Source organism: Homo sapiens, chromosome 10 (assembly GCF_000001405.40).
Source record: "Homo sapiens chromosome 10, GRCh38.p14 Primary Assembly".
Lineage (NCBI taxonomy): Eukaryota > Metazoa > Chordata > Mammalia > Primates > Hominidae > Homo > Homo sapiens.
In genome coordinates this window covers 58,918,388-58,936,806 of record NC_000010.11, presented here as the reverse complement: position 1 = coordinate 58,936,806, position 18,419 = coordinate 58,918,388, and the positions used below count along the sequence as shown (strand labels likewise).

General features: G+C 37.8%; 1 annotated feature.

Annotated features, from left to right (window-relative positions):
- Positions 16,134 to 17,333: an enhancer, noted in NCBI's record as "CDK7 strongly-dependent group 2 enhancer chr10:60679234-60680433 (GRCh37/hg19 assembly coordinates)". NCBI's record gives its function as "activates an origin of replication core promoter dependent on BRD2, BRD4, P300/CBP, MED14 and CDK7 cofactors, with strong dependence on CDK7, by STARR-seq in HCT116 cells {active_cell/tissue: HCT116}" and the evidence as "EXISTENCE:reporter gene assay evidence [ECO:0000049][PMID:35650434]".

The following is an 18,419-nucleotide window of genomic DNA, read 5'->3' as shown; positions in this document are numbered from 1 at the left end:
CTGCACGTGAAGATCACTGAACCACCCAGCTGAGTCTGTCAACCCCCAAAATTATGAAAGATAGTAAGTTTTCCTCTTAAATCTCTAAATTTTGAGATGGTTTGCAAAACAGTAACAGATAATGGGAACACGGTCTACTAGAGAGCGGCTTTTAATGCAGTGGCTTAGCCCTTAGTTAATTCCCCATCTGGAGTCTCAGCTGAAAGCATGAGGATATTTCACACAGCTTCTCCACTGTGTTGGACCATGAACTCCAACTTCTGCCTACCCAGTGCTAGATGACTGCCAAAAATCCCTGCTCAGCTACTCAGCACCCCAGTTGCTACAATCTGCGATTTTCTTTAGAGATTTGCCTGATTTTGCCTCATGTAAGCCCAGCTAGGAGTTAGTGGATGCCTCAAAGAGAAGTTTCATGCTGAATTTTGGGCTCAGTTTTCCAAGGTTCCCTCCTTTCCGGGTATGTTTTAATCGTTCCCATCATTGAAAGATAGGAAGGGCAGTAGCAAAAAAGAAATCAGAAGGGCAAATGAAGAAGGAGAAAAGATTGACAATTATAGAGATAAAAGGGAAAGAAGTTGGCAGGTTTAGAAACGAGCACGTGTTCAAATTTTTATCTCAAAGCTTTCTATATTTCCTGCATATCAGTTTCTCACTACTAATTACATATGTTTTTGCTTAGTTGATCAACATTTATTTGCCTAGATTCTATAAATTGCTTCCCTATTTCCATGTCTATCTTCACCTAATGGCCATGCCTTTCTGGCATGCCCTGTATTTGATCTTTTACTGCTTTGAGAGGCTAGCAATAAGAACAAATTTTATGCAAACTTTGCATTTCACAAACTGGTTAGTTCTTTTTTTTTTTAGTTTATCATCTGCTTTCTGTACCTTGTCATATTCATCAGGCAGCAGCTAATTGACACTTTCATTCTTGTGCCTAGCAATCTTCTTAGCCAAATTGAAATATTCATTAGGGACATGTTCCGTCCTCCAAGTTGCCACAAATAACACTTTGCTAGTCACTTCATTACTTTAAACATGGATTGCCAGTTTTCCAGCCTCCCCTTAAAATTTTCTCACCATTTTTCTGGGCTTAGCTTTTAAAGTCTGTAGTCACTACTCCTACACAAAGCTAATGCCACATATTTTAGGATTTTGTTTTAGGTATCAATTTCTGTATCAGTTAGTAATTGCTGTGCAATACACCATCCCAAAAGTTAGCAGCTTAGAACAACAGTGTTTTTTGTTGTTCCTCATGGGTCCACAGGTTGACTAAGCAGTTTTGCTGATCTGGGCCAGATTTGACCTTTCTTCTTTGGGATCCCTCATGCATCTGTGACCAGGCAGGGGCCAGCAAAGGGCTCTATTTCTAAGGGTTGGCTCACCTCTCCTCTATATGCTTCCTTACCATGCTATCAGGTCAACCCAGCCTTGTTCTCATGGGAGAGGAAAGGCTCCAAAAGACCAGAAGTCATGAGATCTCTGGAGGTCCAGCCTGAAACCTGGGACAGCATCACTCCTCCCATGCTCTGTTGGCCAGAGAAAATCACAGGCAGCCCATACTCAAGAATGTGGTGGGATGGGGCAGCGGGGAGGAATACATACAGCCTCTTGATGGGGCTGCAAAGTAATATAGCAAAGTGTGTGGATATAGAAATTGATGAACAGTTGGGGGCAACTTTTTATTTTTTACAGTCTACCACAAGCTATGACAGAAATCAGCACAGAGTGAGTGGAGACCAATAAGCCAAAAGCATTGCATGTAAGGAAGCCTTCAATACAAGGTGGTATCTGAGCTAGGTTTTTTTAGGATGAACAGGAGCTAGTCAAAAGAATAAAAGGCAGAAAGCATACCAGGTAGAGAAACCAGCACGTGTAAAGACATGAAGATGTGAGAAATCACATTTGGTTCTGGAAACTGGGATCCACAACACTTTCCTGACATTGAGTGCCCCTCTCATCCTGTCCTCAGACTTATATTCTTCTTTGCTTAGAGAAATTTCAAACCTTCTTTAGGAAATCCTTAATTCATGTGTTCCCTTTTCTCATCTACCAGTGTAACCTCATGTGGCTTTGACACTGGAGCCAAAATGGCTGGGTTTCAATTCTATTTTTTTCCACCTTCCATCTGAATAACCTCTCTGTGACTTAGTTTCCCCATCTGAAAATAGTGATAACAACTTATAGGGACATTGCAATAATTAATCCCAGACACTGAAACAGGGTGGGGGTTATAGGACTGTGGGACAGGGGTAAGAGTGGAACAGAGCTTGCTAGTGGCTGCAGAATGTGGGCCAAAAGCAGATCAAGGAGCCCTCATGTGAAATGAATCAGGACTGGGATCAAAGTGTTATTATCAAGAGGCCTACTTGAGATGTGTCAGAGTAGGAACTGCTGTCTCTAGGGTACAGCAAATGGATTTGGAAGAAAAGACAGCAGGCCAGGCCTGAAGATACCTCCTCTATATCTATAAGACAGGCTCAAGGACTCAATAAAAATAAAATCTCTTTGAAGAGATGGCCCATGGTCCCTAAGTCGTGTATATGGTCCCTAAGTTTATAGGGCAAACTATACAGCGGTTGCCTAGTCATTGAGGTTGATTTATTAAAGGTATCACCAATATTGTCTCTTTTTTTTTTTTTTTTTTTTTTTTTTTTTTTTTTACTTTCACACTGAACATATCACATGGTGTTGAGTGCCTGGAACACTCAACATCATACCTTTTTTACTCTCTCCCGGTTACTGCATACCCATGCCAGATCTTTCTTCTTAAATGCCAGTTTTATCATTTTTAACTTCCAAACCATCAGTCACTTTCAGTGACTAATGGACAAATGGTCCACACTTAGTCTGTCAGTCATAGACCTCTGCAAACTGGTCTCAAACTGTTTCCAGCCCCTGCTCCTTGCACATGCCAATCAATCCCATGAAGTAGATTTCTAATAGCCAATCCCAGAGCATGACATACACAGCCTCTGAAACCATCCCTGGACAATTGCACATTCTCCACTTTTTCCCATCATTCAGCCATCTAGCATCCTACCCCAAGGTTTGTTTTTTTTTTAAAGTGCTTACTGCATACCTACTATGTACTGGTCCTCCACTAGGCATTACAACAATGAAGGAGAGGAACAAGATCCCTGCGCTTCGAGGAATTGTATACCTGTAGTTGTTTTCCTCCCCACTTCTCTACCTATCGAGATCCTATATATCCTTCTGCAGCTTTTACAACAATTTCCGTCTCCTGTGAGGCTAAATGAACTATACAACAAATATTAGAAACCACTTTTATGCATTGCTATATTCTCACAGTGTCTTGTGTATTGCTTTACACATAGGAGGTGCTCAGTAACTGGTATTCATTAATTCATCCAACCATTCATTCATTCATTCTGTGGTAAGGTTAAAAATATATATATTTGGTTCCTGGCACAGAGTTCCAAAATCCCTTGGAGTCTCCTAAGTGATTAGTGTCCTTTGTATGCTAATGAGATGATTTTTGGCAGAAGGGGCCTAGACAGCTTCAAATGGGGGCTGGCCACCAGAAAGACCAAGCCATGATTGGAAGTTTGGAACTTTCAGCCCCATCCCCCTACCTCAAAGAGAGAATGGAGATTGAGTTCATTCACCAAGTAACGATTTCTGTAGTCATTCCTAAGTAATGAGACCTCCCTAAGAACTCTTAAACAATGGAGTTTGGAGAGCTTCCAAATTTGTGAGCCCACTGAGGTGCCAGGACGGTGATGCATTCCAACTTCACAGGGACAGAGGCTCCCGCACTAGGGACCCTTTCAAATCTCATTCTATGTACCTCTTCAACTGTTTTTTTTTACTGGTATCATTTATGATAAATTGTAATAGTAAATATAGCATTTTTCTGTGAATTACTGAACACAAAGAAAGAGGAGTCATGGGGACTCCCACATTTGTAGCCAAGTTAGACAGAAGAATAAGCGTGCACACTCAATTGTGGCTGGCTTCTGAAGGGGGAGCAGTCTTGCGGGACTGAGCCTTCAATTGAATTGAATTGAATTGGTAGACACCCAGTTTGTGTCAGAGAATGGAGAATCAGAGACATTCATTTACTTATTCATTTATTCATGATGCTCAACACTTCACTCAGACTTTCAGTTTTAAACTCTAGGTGAATCCTCCTCCTACCCCCAAATTAGTCTCTGACTTGGCCAGACAAAATTTGAGTCAGAAGATGTCAAACTTTTATCTGGTTAAAAAGCTGACTTTATCATTTCTCTTCCCAAATAATCTATTTCAAGCAACTAGTCACTTCATAGCCTTCCATGTTTCTCACCATAGGCGATTGCTTTCTTTCCCTCCCCAGTCAGAGAAGTTAGTGAGCGTAGAGTTCCTAACACCCAACTCAGACACTTCATAATGAATTGCCACAATCTGGCAGATTTGGAGTTATAAGCCTAGTCCCTTTCTTGAACAAAAGACTGAGACTCTTGCTCTAATCTACTGACCACAAACATTCCTAAGTAGCTTCTGCTACTTAGGAAACAATTAATCAACCCCCAATATAACCAAAACACATTTCCCAGATAACCAGTTTTAAGGCCTGTGATTCTATTCAACATTTTTTGTTTTTCTCAAGAAGTAAATTAGTTACTACAAATAGAGAGATCCAGAATCCAACATTGCCATTTAATTTACTCGTGGAAATATGGAGTTTTTGACAAATATTTTAGGCCTCCAATCATGGGTCAAGATTATTATAAATAAACTTAATGTCCAATTATTAAAGAATGGTTAATTAAATTATAGTGCATAAAGGTTGCATTTTAAAAATATTCAATTTATGTTTGTGAAAAAAATTTAATAGCAATGGGAAATGCTTACAATCTAAGGAGCAGGCGAAAAAAAGACGGTATTCAGAGAAGTTGATAAAATACAATGCCACAAACATGTACGTGTACACAAAGAAAATAGGCTGGAAGCACAAGCATCAAAATTTTAACAATTATATTAATTTTCCTTTGCAAGTTTGTGTATTTTTGAAAGTTTTCTATGTCAACATCTGCTCACCTCCTAAAGTTGATTAAATTTTTTTTCTTTAGGAACCACCAAACAAAATGCAAAGCCCAAGAAGTTGGCTATGACACTTCAAAATTTGCTCATCAAATTGTCCCCTATCAGAATAATAACAAGCTGTCCATTCTCTTCATAATGAGTTATTTCATTTTTCCCTAAGATGGGCACAATCTTAAATATACCTTAATCAATTTTCTCAAATTAAGATACCGCAAAACCTACTTTCCCCTGGCTCGTTGCAAGTGTTATCAGCTAGTCTCCGATGAGAAATACAATTTAACAAATTGTGAAGGATAGGATGCCTGAGCAGTAAGGACTGTTTGGCTCGCATGAGCTCCCAAAACCCACAATAGGATTTTCTAGAATCACACTCCTATGTCGTCCATTAGAAGTTAACCAATAGGCTCATGCATGACAATGAGGCCTCACCTCCCTAGAAAAAGTACCAGACAGCTTTTTAACACATTTAATTTTTCTTCTGTTATCTGAGACCATAATGCTACTGCCAGTTGTACTTAGCAAAAGCTAAATGGCAAATGAAGTAAAAAAGAAAATTCATTTGACAGGAAAAGCATTTCTTGGGTGGATATGATGAACAATATAGCCCAAGATTCAACATTTAAGAAAAGGTTAAAGTCTGAGGGAAAAGCAAAAGGCAATATAATACTGTGATGATAACCAAACTGCCTTCACATTCCCCCTTGAGCTGGTTTCATAACAATTGCTGCATAAGTGTTAGAGTAAAATTGTTTTTTTTTTTCTTTTTTACGCCAACCTTCAAAGCAGCTCAGAGTATTTTCACATTCAGCCAGGACCACAAGATGAAAAAAAATTCTTTCCTCTTTGATTCTAAATACAACTAAGTAGTTTTTTAGAAATGAGGCAGAAGGACAGATGGAAGCTGAAAGTACCCTGCATCAGGGCCACACATAGAGGTTTCGATACAATATTTGAAAGGAGAGATCCACATAGCCATGCAGGGGTCTACTGCCACGTACTAGCTGCTGGATGCAATTACATTAGGAACTTCACGATTCAAAGAGCAAAGCATTTGCTAAATTAATTGCATGTGTGGCCGGAATATTAATGACTACTATCATACTCAGCCTGTAATAATACCCAAGTGAGTCATTTCACAAAAATTGTCATTTATAAAAAAATCAACTAATCAGAGAGGTTGATTAGTTGATTTTTTTGAGAGGTAGGCTCATTTTCAAATGACTAATGAGAGGTAGGCTCATTTTCAAAACTAGATTTTTTCCCCTTTATACTTTAGCACATTCTATTTTTCCTTACAATGTCTGCATTGATGAAGTTCAATGCCTGTACTAGTTTTCAGCTACAGAGTAACCATAAACACATAAAATTCTCAGAGATTATCTTACTTGGGATTTTTTAAGGAGTATTCTAGTGACCCCTTTTCATGATCTGCATGAGAATCATGAAAAGATACTTATTTAAAAACATAGGTTTTGGGGACTCACCTCAAAGTTAATTATATGCAATCTCAAGGTAGGTAGTCAAGAATTTCCACTTTTAAAAATTTCTTCTCTGGTTGATTTTTATGACCACTAAAATCTGAATGAATATTAGTGTTCTAAATTTTCAAAAAAAGAAATTCCATAAAAACAAAATGATGATAAGCAAATTATAAAATTCAATACTAGAAGAGTTAACTTGCCCCAACTCATCCACTGTCAGTGGATTTGTCAGAGAAGGTCTATCTTAAATGAAAAGAGGCATATCCAAGGTGTTCCTGGAGAGGTGCTCAAGGATATATTTGGCCCCATTAACTTAGAAGTGACAAGGACACATTGAAGTTTCATTTACGGATCTCTTAAATTAAATATCAGATTTTTACATTCATTCTATATTTGTCCTTTCAATAAATATGCCTGCCTAAAATCTAAAGCCATATCTAAATTTGTAGGTGCTGGTAAAGAATAGCATAGACAGAAGGACCATAAGTGAAATACCTGCGCAGCTGCCTGTAGGCTGCCAATGCACACACCAGAAAGCTACTCAGATGAATTCACAGAAATGTGAGTGAGCCTGGGGTTTAGATTCAGGTTTCATAGCCAACTTGAATCTAAGACAGAGGGCAAATCATATTTCTCTGATAAATAAGAGAGGATGACATAGAAGAGTGGTATCCAAACTTGGTTGTATAATGTTTGAATCACCTAGAGAATTTTCAAAAAACAAAAACAAAAGCAAAAAAGAAACCCCTCGTTTTCAAGCCTCAACTCAATATTATTGAAACAGTGCACAGAGCTGCAGTTTAGAAACGTTTAGGTGATTCTCAAATGCCTACTTTGAAATACTTTGAAAATAAAGGCTTAGCACAACCTGATCATAATTACTAGAAAAATAATTCAAAATTTATCTTATTACTGTTGACTTTGAAGCATTGTCTTTACAAGTAGAAAGTATACAAATCTTTTATTATAATTTGATATTTACTTTTTAATTTTCAGATTTTTTTCTTGATCCTAAATGCCATAGATGTCATCTCTGAGTATGTGGTGTATCTTCGCTCTATTAGCCATGGAACAGGACAGGATTGGAGAATATGTACATATATATATATGAATATATACACACACATGCTACACTATATATATACACATATATACATATATATACACATATATACACACACACACATATACACATATATACGTACATATGTGTGTGTGTGTGTATATATATACGTATATCTGCATGTACCAAATAATCCAACTTTAAGACTATATATATATTTGGGAGGCCGAGGCAGGTGGATCACGAGGTCAGTAGATCAAGACCATCCTGGCCAACATGGTGAAAGCCCATCTCTACTAAAAATAGAAAAAATTAGCCGGGCATGGTGGTGGGCTCCTGTAGTCCCAGCTACTCAGGAGGCTGAGGCAGGAGAATTGCTTGAACCTGGGAGGCGGAGGTTGCAGTGAGCTGAGATCAAGCCACTGCACTCCAGCCTGGGCAACACAGCAAGAGAGTGAGACTCTGTCTCAAAAAAAAAAAAAAAAAAAAAAGAATATATATATACACACACACACACACACACATTATACTACATATATACGTATGCATATATCCTTATAGATATACATATATACATATACGTATATGCGTGTATATACATATATATGTATATATACATATATAATATATGCGTATATATACGTGTATACATGTATAGATATAGTGTAGAGAGTGTGTGTGTGTGTGTGTGTGTGTGTGTATATATATATATATTCTTTTTTTTTGTTTTTTGTTTGAGACGGAGTCTCGCTCTCTTGCTCTGTCACCCAGGCTGGAGTGCAGTGGCTTGATCTCAGCTCACTGCAACCTCCGCCTCCCAGGTTCAAGCAATTCTCCTTCCTCAGCCTCCCCAGTAGCTGGGACTACAGATGCCCGCCACCATGCCCAGCTAATTTTTTCTATTTTTAGTAGAGACGGGCTTTCACCATGTTGGCCAGGATGCTCTCGATCTCCTGACCTCGTGATCCACCTTCCTTGGCCTCCCAAATATATATATACTCTTAAAGCTATATTATTTGGTACATGTAGGTTTACAATTGTGATATCTTCCCTTGATTCCTTTGACTTACAAAGTGTCCCTCTTTATCTCTAATAATCCTCTTTAGGGTGTAGTTTTTGCATGGTATACTTTTCTTTTTTTGTTTCTTCCTTTTTCTCAAATTTCACAGATATTTCTTGTTAGCAGTAATACTGGTCATGCAATTTTTAAACTTATCTTGCAATAATTTTAGACTTACAGAAAAGTTACAAGAATAGTACAGAGTCCCTGTATACCCATCTCACAGCTTCTCTTCATCTTAACATCTTGCATAGCCATAATACAATTATCAAAACTAACAAATTAGTATTAGTAGATTGCTATTATTTAAACTCCAGGCTTTTCAGATTTCACCAGATTTTCCACTAATGTCCTTCTCCTATTCCAGGATTCAGTCCAAGAGCCCACATTTCAATTAGTTGTCACATTTCCTTAATCTCCTCTGGGATGTGTCAATTCCTCAGTCTTTTCTTGTCTTTTATACCCTTGACACTTTTTGATGTGATTTGGCTGTGTCCCCACCCAAATTTTATCTTGAATTGTAGCTCCCATAATTCCCACGTGTTGTGGGAGGGACCCGGTGGGAGATAATTAAATAATCATGGGAGTGGTTCCCCCATACTGTTCTCATGGCAGTAAATAAGTCTCATGAGATCTGATGGTTTTATAAGGGGAAACCCCATTCTCTTGGCTCTCATTCTCTCTCTTGTCTGCTGCCATGTTAAGACATGCCTTTTGCCTCTACTGTGATTGTGAGGCCTCCCCAGCTATGTGGAACTGTGAGCCCATTAAACCTCTTTTTCTCTGTAAAGTACCCAGTCTCAGGTATGTCTTTATTAGCAGCGTGAGAATGAACTGATATACTTTTGAAAAACACCGAGCAACTATTTCATAGAATTTCCCTCAATTTTGGTTTGCCTGATGTCTTCTCATGATTAGATTGACGCTAGGCACTTTTGGTGAGAAAATAAACAGATGATATTCCCTTCTTGGTATATTATATCAGGCAGTATGTAATGTTTTTGTGTTTTATTCCTAGTGACGTTACCCTTGATCACATGATTATGATGGTATGTTCTGGGTTTTTCTATTATGAAGTCATTATCTCTCCCTTTGTAATTAATAAATATTGTGGAGGAGATACTTTGAGTGTATGAAAATATCCTGTGTCTCCTCAGACTTTTGCCCACTAAATCTACCATCCATGGGGGGATCTTGCCTAAAACAATTATTACAATGTCATTATCATGGTGATTTCCTATTTCCCTCATTTCTTCTACATTTATTCATTGGAATTCTATGAGATAGAACTTCCCTTTCCCTCTTTTATTTATTCAGTTAATTATATCAGTATGCTTTGGGTTATTATATAATATTATCATTATCAATTTCATTGTACAAATTTTTCCAGTTTGGGCCATTGAGAGCTTTGTCAGGTTGGCGCTTGTGGTCTTTGACAAGCCCTCAATTTTTTTTTTTTTTCTGAACACATCTTTACTTTTTGGCACCATAATCATAATCTTCTCCATCTTTTCCCAGCTCTGCAATCAACCACTTTTCTCCAAGGAATTCTGATTGTAAAGTAGCATTTAGAAAGTAAGATCTGGATACTAGGTGTGCTCATTGCCATTGATTTGCCATTATCCTCTCAGAAGTCAGAACCAGAAAATACACGTATGTATGCTATGCCATGATTACATATACATCTTTGTTTATTTCTGTATTTATCTGTGTGTGTATGTGTGTGCATTCAGATTGATACCTGTGATTCCAGTAACAACGTGGGTTTATTCTAGATGTTCCACTTTCCTTATTTATAACTTTTTTCTCCACAGTGAAAAACTTGATCCCATTATCTGCAATATTTTTACTTATTTGTTCAAGTCTAGTATATACCAATAAAGTTTCATAATTGTTAATGGGTGCTCATGTGAAAAACAATTTGCCAACTAGACTCAGTGTTTACATATAGTTCTTTTTGTCCTCAGTCTTATAGAATACAGTCCAAAAATGCTGTTTTCTGAAGTAATTTGACTTATTTTCTTCTTCATTCCTTTCAGGGTGGTTATGTTATTCATTTGTAACACAGGCTCACTTGTAATATTTATATTCCATTTTAGTTTCCCATCAAATCCTGGTTGATTTTAAAAATATTTACCTACAGTAAAACTCACTCTTTAAGGTAATATACAGGTTTTGACAGATGCTTAGCATTGTATATCCACAACCACAGCCGTAACAGAGAACACTTCCATCACTGCACTTCCTTTGAACTGCCCCTATGTATCAACCCTTCCAACTGCCCCTTACCGAAGTAAACCACTGATTTGTTTGACATTTCTATAGTTTTGCCTTTTCCAGAATGTCATATAAATAGAATCACCTAACATACAGCCCTTTAGATTTGGCTTCTTTTACTTAGCTAAGTACATTTAAGATTCATACATGTTGTTACATGAATCAATAATTTATTGATTTTTATTACTGAATAGTATTTCATTGTATGGATGTACAGTTAAGTGGTTTATTCGTTCACTGATTAAAGGGGACTGGGCTGTTTCCCAAGTGGGGCAAGTATGAACAAATCTGCTTGAAGTATTCTTGTACAGGTTTTTGCGTGAAAGTAAGTATTCATTTCTCTTGGGCAAATATATTAGTCAGGGTTATACAGAGAAACAGAATGTGTATATATAGAAAGAGATATCCAGTAGGATGTGTATATTAAGAGAGATATAGCTCTGGAGGTTGTCAAGTCCAAACTCTACAGGATAGGCTGGCAGGATGGAGTTGATGTTGCAGCTCAAATCCATCAAGCCATCTGCTTCAGGTTGGTGGGAAACATGGAAAGATTAGTGAATTTCAACAGCATGCATCTATTACTGCACTTTATTTGTTATGAAGTGAGTCCCTTGATCAGAAGCAGTGCTGTGTGGAATACTATGATGGTAGTATCTCACTTCTGGTACCAAAATCTTATTAGTCATGCTTCTCTGGAGAAATAGAATGAATAGGAATGGGACAGGAACAGATTTATTTATTTCTTTATTTATTTTTTGAGACGGAGTCTCACACACTCGCCCAGGCTGGAGTGCAGTGGGCCATCTCAGCTCACTGCAAGCTCCACCTCCTGGGTTCTCGCCATTCTCCTGCCTCTGCCTCCCGAGTAGCTGGGACTACAGGTGCCCGCCACCACGGCCGTCTAATTTTTTGTATTTTTAGTGGAGACGGGGTTTCACCGTGTTAGTCAGGATGGTCTCAATCTCCTGACCTTGTGATCTGCCCACCTCAGCCTCCCAAAGTGCTGGGATTACAGGCGTGAGCCACTGCGCCCGGCCAGGAACAGATTTATTTTAAGGAATTGGCTCATGTGATTTTGGAGGCTGCCATGTACAAAATCTACATGTAGGGTAGTCCAGCAGGACAGAGGCCCATGGAAGAGTTGATACTGCAGCTTGAATCCAAAGGCTGTCTAAAGGCAGAATTCCCTCCTCCTCCAGGGATTTCAATTTTTCTCTTAAGACCTTCAACTGATTGGATGGGGCCCATCTACATTAGAGAGGGCAATCTGCTTTACTCCAAGTCTGCTGACATAAATGTTAATCTCATCTTTAAAAAGCACCTTTGCGGGCCGGGTGCAGTGGCTCACACCTGTAATCCCAGCACTTTGGGAGGCTGAGGTGGGTGGATCACGAGGTCAGGAGATTGAGACCAGCCTGGCTAACACAGTGAAACCCCGTCTCTACTAAAACTACAAAAAATTACCCGGGCGTGGTGGCACATGCCTGTAGTCCCAGATACTCAGGAGGCTGAGGCGGGAGAATCGCTTGAACCCGGGAGGCGGAGGTTGCATTGAGCCAGGAGGTTGAGATCAGGCTGCTGCACTCCAGCCTGGGCCACAGAGTGAGACTCTGTCTCAAAAAAAAAAAAAAAAAAAAAAAAAAAAAAAAAAAAAAAGTATTTTAGCAACAACATCTAGGCTGGTATTTGACCAAATATCTGAGTACCATGGCTTAGCCAAGTTGACATATAAAATTATCCATCATAGTAAGTTTCTAGGAGTGGGATTGCAGAGTCAAATGAGAAACATATATTTAATTTTATTAGAAACTGCCAAAATATTTTCCATAGTGGCTGTGCCATTTTTCATTCCCATCAGCAATGTATAAGAGTTCCAGTGGCATGGTCACTTTTTTTTGATTGTTTGTTTTTGGCCATTCTAATGTGCATGTAAGGTGTCTCATTATGGTATTAAAATGTATTTTTCTGAAGACTAATGACGTTGAGCACCATTCTATATAGTTATTTTCATCCATATATCTTGTTTGATGAAATGCCTGTTCAGATTTTTGGCATTTTTTAAAAAAATTGATTGTTGCTTATCTTATTTTTGAGTTTCGTGAATTCTTTATGTATTCTGGATATAAGACCTTTGTCTGAAATGTTATTTGTAGATATTTTTTCCAAACTGGACCTTGTCCTTTTGTTCATTTAACAGTGCATCTTGCAGACCAAAGTTTTCCAAATTGAATAATATCCGACTTAGAAATATTTCTTTTGTGAATGTTTTTGGTGTGGTATCTAAAAATCTTTTGTCTAACTTGAGATAACAAAGGTTTTCTCCTCAATTTTCCTTTAGAGGTTTTATGTTTTCATTTATGTGTTTAGTACATTTTGAGTTAACAGTTGTGTAAGATACAAGACATGGGTTTGAGGTGGATCTTTTTGTTTGGAATTTTGCTTGTTTAGTTGGTTGGTTGGTGCCTTCCACCATGATAGGAAGCTTCCTGAGGCCTCCCCAGAAGCAGTTGCCACAAGAAAACCACAATAATTAATTTAGAAATGATGATATTGACACTGACAGGTGAAGATAGGTGGTGGTCATTCATAAGAATTGATTCTTGAACATTTCTTTGCCCAATTTTTGTATTAATTTGTCTTATTATTGAGTTATAAAAATTTATTATATATTCTGGGTAAGTCCTTTATTTGCTTTGTATTTTTAATACCCAATTCAAGTATGTGACTTGTCTTTTCATTGTCCTAATAATGTTTTTTGAAAAGCAGACATTTTAAATTTTGATGAAGTACAACTTACCACTTTTTGTTTATGGATTATAATTTTGGTGTGTATCTGTGACACTTTTGCCTAACCCAAGACCACACAGTTTTTATCCAATGTTTTCTTCTGGAAGTTTTATAGTTTAAGTTCTTATATTTAGGACTATGATTCATTTTCAGCTGATTTTTTATGTTTGGTGCAAGGTATAAATCAAAGTTGACATAATTTTTAAATGTGAATATTCAATTGTTCCTGCACCATTTGTTGAAAAGACTTCTTTCTCTGCTGCTTTGTCTTGGCACCTTTTTCGAATATCACATTGATTGGTTTCTGGACTCTATTCTATTCTGTCAATCTATATTTCTATCCTTATGCCAATACTACACTGTATTAATGCTTAATATTTTTAAATGAAGGTTAAAATGGCTATAAATTAACTTTAAATACTTTTCACATCCATGCTTTGAAATTAATCATTTATTGGTTTATAAACTCTTAAGATTTAAAGATTTAAATGAGTAAAAAATTTTTTTAAGTTGCTAAATGTAAAACTCTGAGAACCCATAAGCAAATGCTAACAACACAGGGAAGAAAGACCTTCAAGATGAAAATAAAACTCCATGATGATACAGAACTGCAGAGAACTCTGGAGAAAGCTAGTGAAATTGAGAAAAAGGGAGAAATTATAGAACATTTACCAGAGTTTGCCATATGAGGTGCACAGGAGATCACTGGATAAATTTTTTAGGGTATCAATGCCTGATCCCCACCCCCAAATATATGGACTGTTTTGGAACAAGGCTATGTTTGAGGATCAAATATATATTCCAGATATAAGTAATCAACAAGCTTAATCATTGTGAAGAGAACAAAACAAGTATGTAATACAGAGATGAGGACTGCACTGCTGTAAGATATTAAGGAATGAGCTAAATATCACAGAAATACACCTTTATTTTTAATAATTATTAAGAAGTATACAATTACATACATTTATTCAGATACAGAAAATTGATATGAAAATATCTGACCTTCACTTTGAGAGCTAGAAAAAGTTATTATATACTAATAACTACCACTCTTTAAACATCTCCACTTGGGATCCCCCAGAAGCAGATCCTGACAGAGATTCAATGCAATTATTTTACTGGGAAACCCCTGAAACAAGGCACCCAATAAAGGAGATGTCGTAGCTAGCTACCACTGTGATCAGCTGGACCTTAATCCTACGAAGTTCTGGGAAGGGTGCAAAACATATCTCAGAGTTATCCTGAGAGGCAAGAGCACTGGGATATTTATGCACCAACACTTAAGAGTCAGAGTTTGAGGATTTCTGGGAAGGGAGTGTTATCTCTCGGGTACTTCTGTCCTTCCAAGTCTTCAGAAATAGCCCTCAGGAACAAAGTGGCATACACTGAAAGCTGGAAGTCCACCAGAGTACACACAATTGATAAAGAATGAGGCACAGATGGATTATGCCTCGATGCACTAGGGGATTTTGAGATCCATTTAATGCATTATTTATAAGCTTCACAAATACTACAAAGAGGTTTTTTTTTCTTAGAAAGAAACCAAGACACATCCAATAAATAATTATTGTGTGCCTTTTATGGCCCAGGCACTGCTCCAGACACTAGGGATAGAGTGGTGAACAAAAACAGATTATGCCCATATGGAGTTTACACTCTGGTAGGGAGAGACTGGCAGACATGTAAGCCAATATAGCATCAGATGTAGATAAGAACTGAGAAGAAAAATAAAGCAAAATAAGGGAATCAAGAATGACGAGGGGTGCTTTTTCAGACCATTCATTTAGGGAAGCCTGCTCTTAAAAGATGAATTTGAGAAGAGAACTGAATGCAGGGAAGAAGCAAGCCCAGTGAAGACTTCAGGCGAAGGAAACAACAAGTCTACGGCCCCGAGGTGTATCCATGTTTGGTATATGTAAAGAACAACAAGGAAGCTAGTGTGGCTGGAAGAGAATGAAGAAGGGAGATTAATCAGGAATAACGCGAGAGACAGACCCTCATAGTCCATAGTGAGGAATTTGTAATTCATGTTAGATGTAATTGTAAGTGTGGCAGGTAACAGTGGATGAAGAAAAACAAGCTAGGAATCTAGTGTACTAATTCAGGAAAAATAAAGGTATTAAATGATTCTCCTAATAAGATAAAATTAACTGCTCAATCTGCACTTCAAACTTAAATCTGTCTTCCTCCCAAGCTGATGATCTTTGCTCTATGACATTTGCTTCTCCCTTACAGCTTGACATTTTCATTTCTCTGGAGCTCTTTATGAATATGAGTAATCAGTGATGTCTCTTTGCCAAATCAAAACAGGAAAAACAAGGAAAATCCCCCCAAACTGACAAAAGAAAAAGAAATTCCACTGAATTTAATAAGCTTGTGGCTGTCCTATTTTTTCAAACCCTGGGAAGGAAGAACAATTTAAACTTGCAGCACTGATACTTCACTAGTATCTTTGACTGCTGACTCTGAGCATTATCTTGTGAGACTCCCAGACTCACTGAAATCTCAAATTGCTGCTTTTCTGCCTGCTGAGTGCTGTGAGTTGAAAAGAACCGAGTCATTTGTTTCCTCCACAAGCCTGAGGTATTTCGTGAAACCACATTTATTTCAAGGATGCTTTCTTTCTCATGGGAGACTTTTAAGTCCCAAAGGTCAACAGAAAGCCTTGGCATATGATGCCTTTTTCATCTTGCTAACAGCAGGGAAAGAATAGAATGAAAGAGCCTAACAGTAAGAGAACATAAGGAATAAAAGAAGCAACAAGGTAATTTCATTTACCTTTTGCAGTTAAAGAAAGGAAACAAGAATAGCCCTAGCACAGAAATAATTACCTGGTTAGCATTCTGCAACCTTGCTGGATTTGTGATGCTGCAGGAATATTGATGAGTCTGACTAGTAACTTTGGTCAACCAATGACAGGTTCATGACTCCTCTCAAACAGCAGGCTGGCTTTTATAGACTTTCTGAGTCACTTCTCACTAATGCTAGCCCTCCTGAAGCTCCACTCAGGTATGAGTAATAGGGAGGTGGCCATTTCTCCCTCTGTTCCGTCTTCTTTCAGAGAAGCAATTATCTTCTTTTGTTGTCTAAATCAATAATAAATCTCTCCACCATTATCAGAACACTTGAAGAACACTGGTGGGTTGGTCCTGGATAATAATCCCTAACAAGGCAAATGCATGATTTGCCCATGGGTGTCAAAGATGAGAGAGACATCCAAGTGGAGCCAGACTGCCCGAGTTCAAATCCTAGCTCCTCCACTTATGAACTATGTGGGCATAGCTCAATTTCCAAAACTTCAGTTCTCTGATCTAAAAATGCAGATGAAAATAGTAGTATTTACCCTAGATTTACCTTGTAGTGCATTAATATAGAAAACAATATCTGGAATAACTTTCCCCCATGATAATGCATATTCACATACAACCTGATTAATTCCCACCCTCTACCCAGCACACATCCCAGAATTCTACTGACTCTGTATCCCAGGACTATGCGAGAGAAAGGCGTGCCACCTAATTAACAGATCCCTGGAATCATTCATGCTGACCTGGAAGTCTGGGCTAGGCTTTCAGGATTCACAATGGCTCTTCCCAGATGGCATCAATCCATAGCCAGAACAAGAATGGATTAGAATTGTCCCAGGGAATTCCTAGCTGGCTAACAATAACTTTTCAATAATGATTCACCAGAATTTTAAATTATTTGTACCCCATAATTGCATTAGATAGGGCTTTTGAAGTATAAATCAAACATTTAGAACACTGCCTGGGCAGAGGAGTGCTGCATATAAAACTATTGGGTATTTATTTGTTTGTTTATAGTTTTAGTGTCTCAAAAATCAGTAAAACTTAATTCACTTCCATTCTTTCGCCATTAACAGAAAACTGGAAAAAGCAAAAATGTTTTGCATTTACAAAGATAAATGGCCTCTTTACCCAGGGACCGAAACCTCAAACAAGTGTGAAAATGAAAATGCCCTCCCCCACATCCCCTGAGCTGAGCCTTGTCATCACAGACATAGCCTTCAGTCCACTGGCCAGGGACCCTGTATATGAGCAATTCAAGATGAGGGCCAAAAAATCAGACCCATCTGTTCCCATGATATAAAGTTGAACAGAAGCTACACCAAGGGTCTAATGTCTGTTTTCTACAGGACTCTGGTGGCTACTTATTAAAAAACAAAAAACAAAAACATCAAGATTCATGTCAGGCAAACTTTTTAATTTTTTTGTTGTTTTGTTTTTAAATCAGTAAAAGAAATTGGGCCCTAGAAGCTGCAGTGATCTAAGCAGTGGCATTTGTGTATTCGTATTTTCACTGTTGGGATTATTGCTATTAGTCCTCTGGCATGAAGGGGGACATTGCTGAGTCTAATACTCACAACTTGTACATGTTTATCTCATTGCAACAATAGAAGAAAAACAAATAACTATTTTGTAATATTAATACTGAAAAATAACTCCTTTATCTATAAAATAAGAGCAAAAGATGACTATGTAAATTGTCACAGTTGAACTAGTTGTGTGGTGTGAAGAATTGAAAAGTAATTGGAGTTTGGAAGATAACTTGTAAAAGTTTACATCTTAACTGAAATTTATATCCCATAGAAAATGCATTTTTAAAATGATATTCCTTCCATCTTTTTTTTTTTTTTGAGACGGAGTCTTGCTCTGTCGGCCAGGCTGGAGTGCAGCGG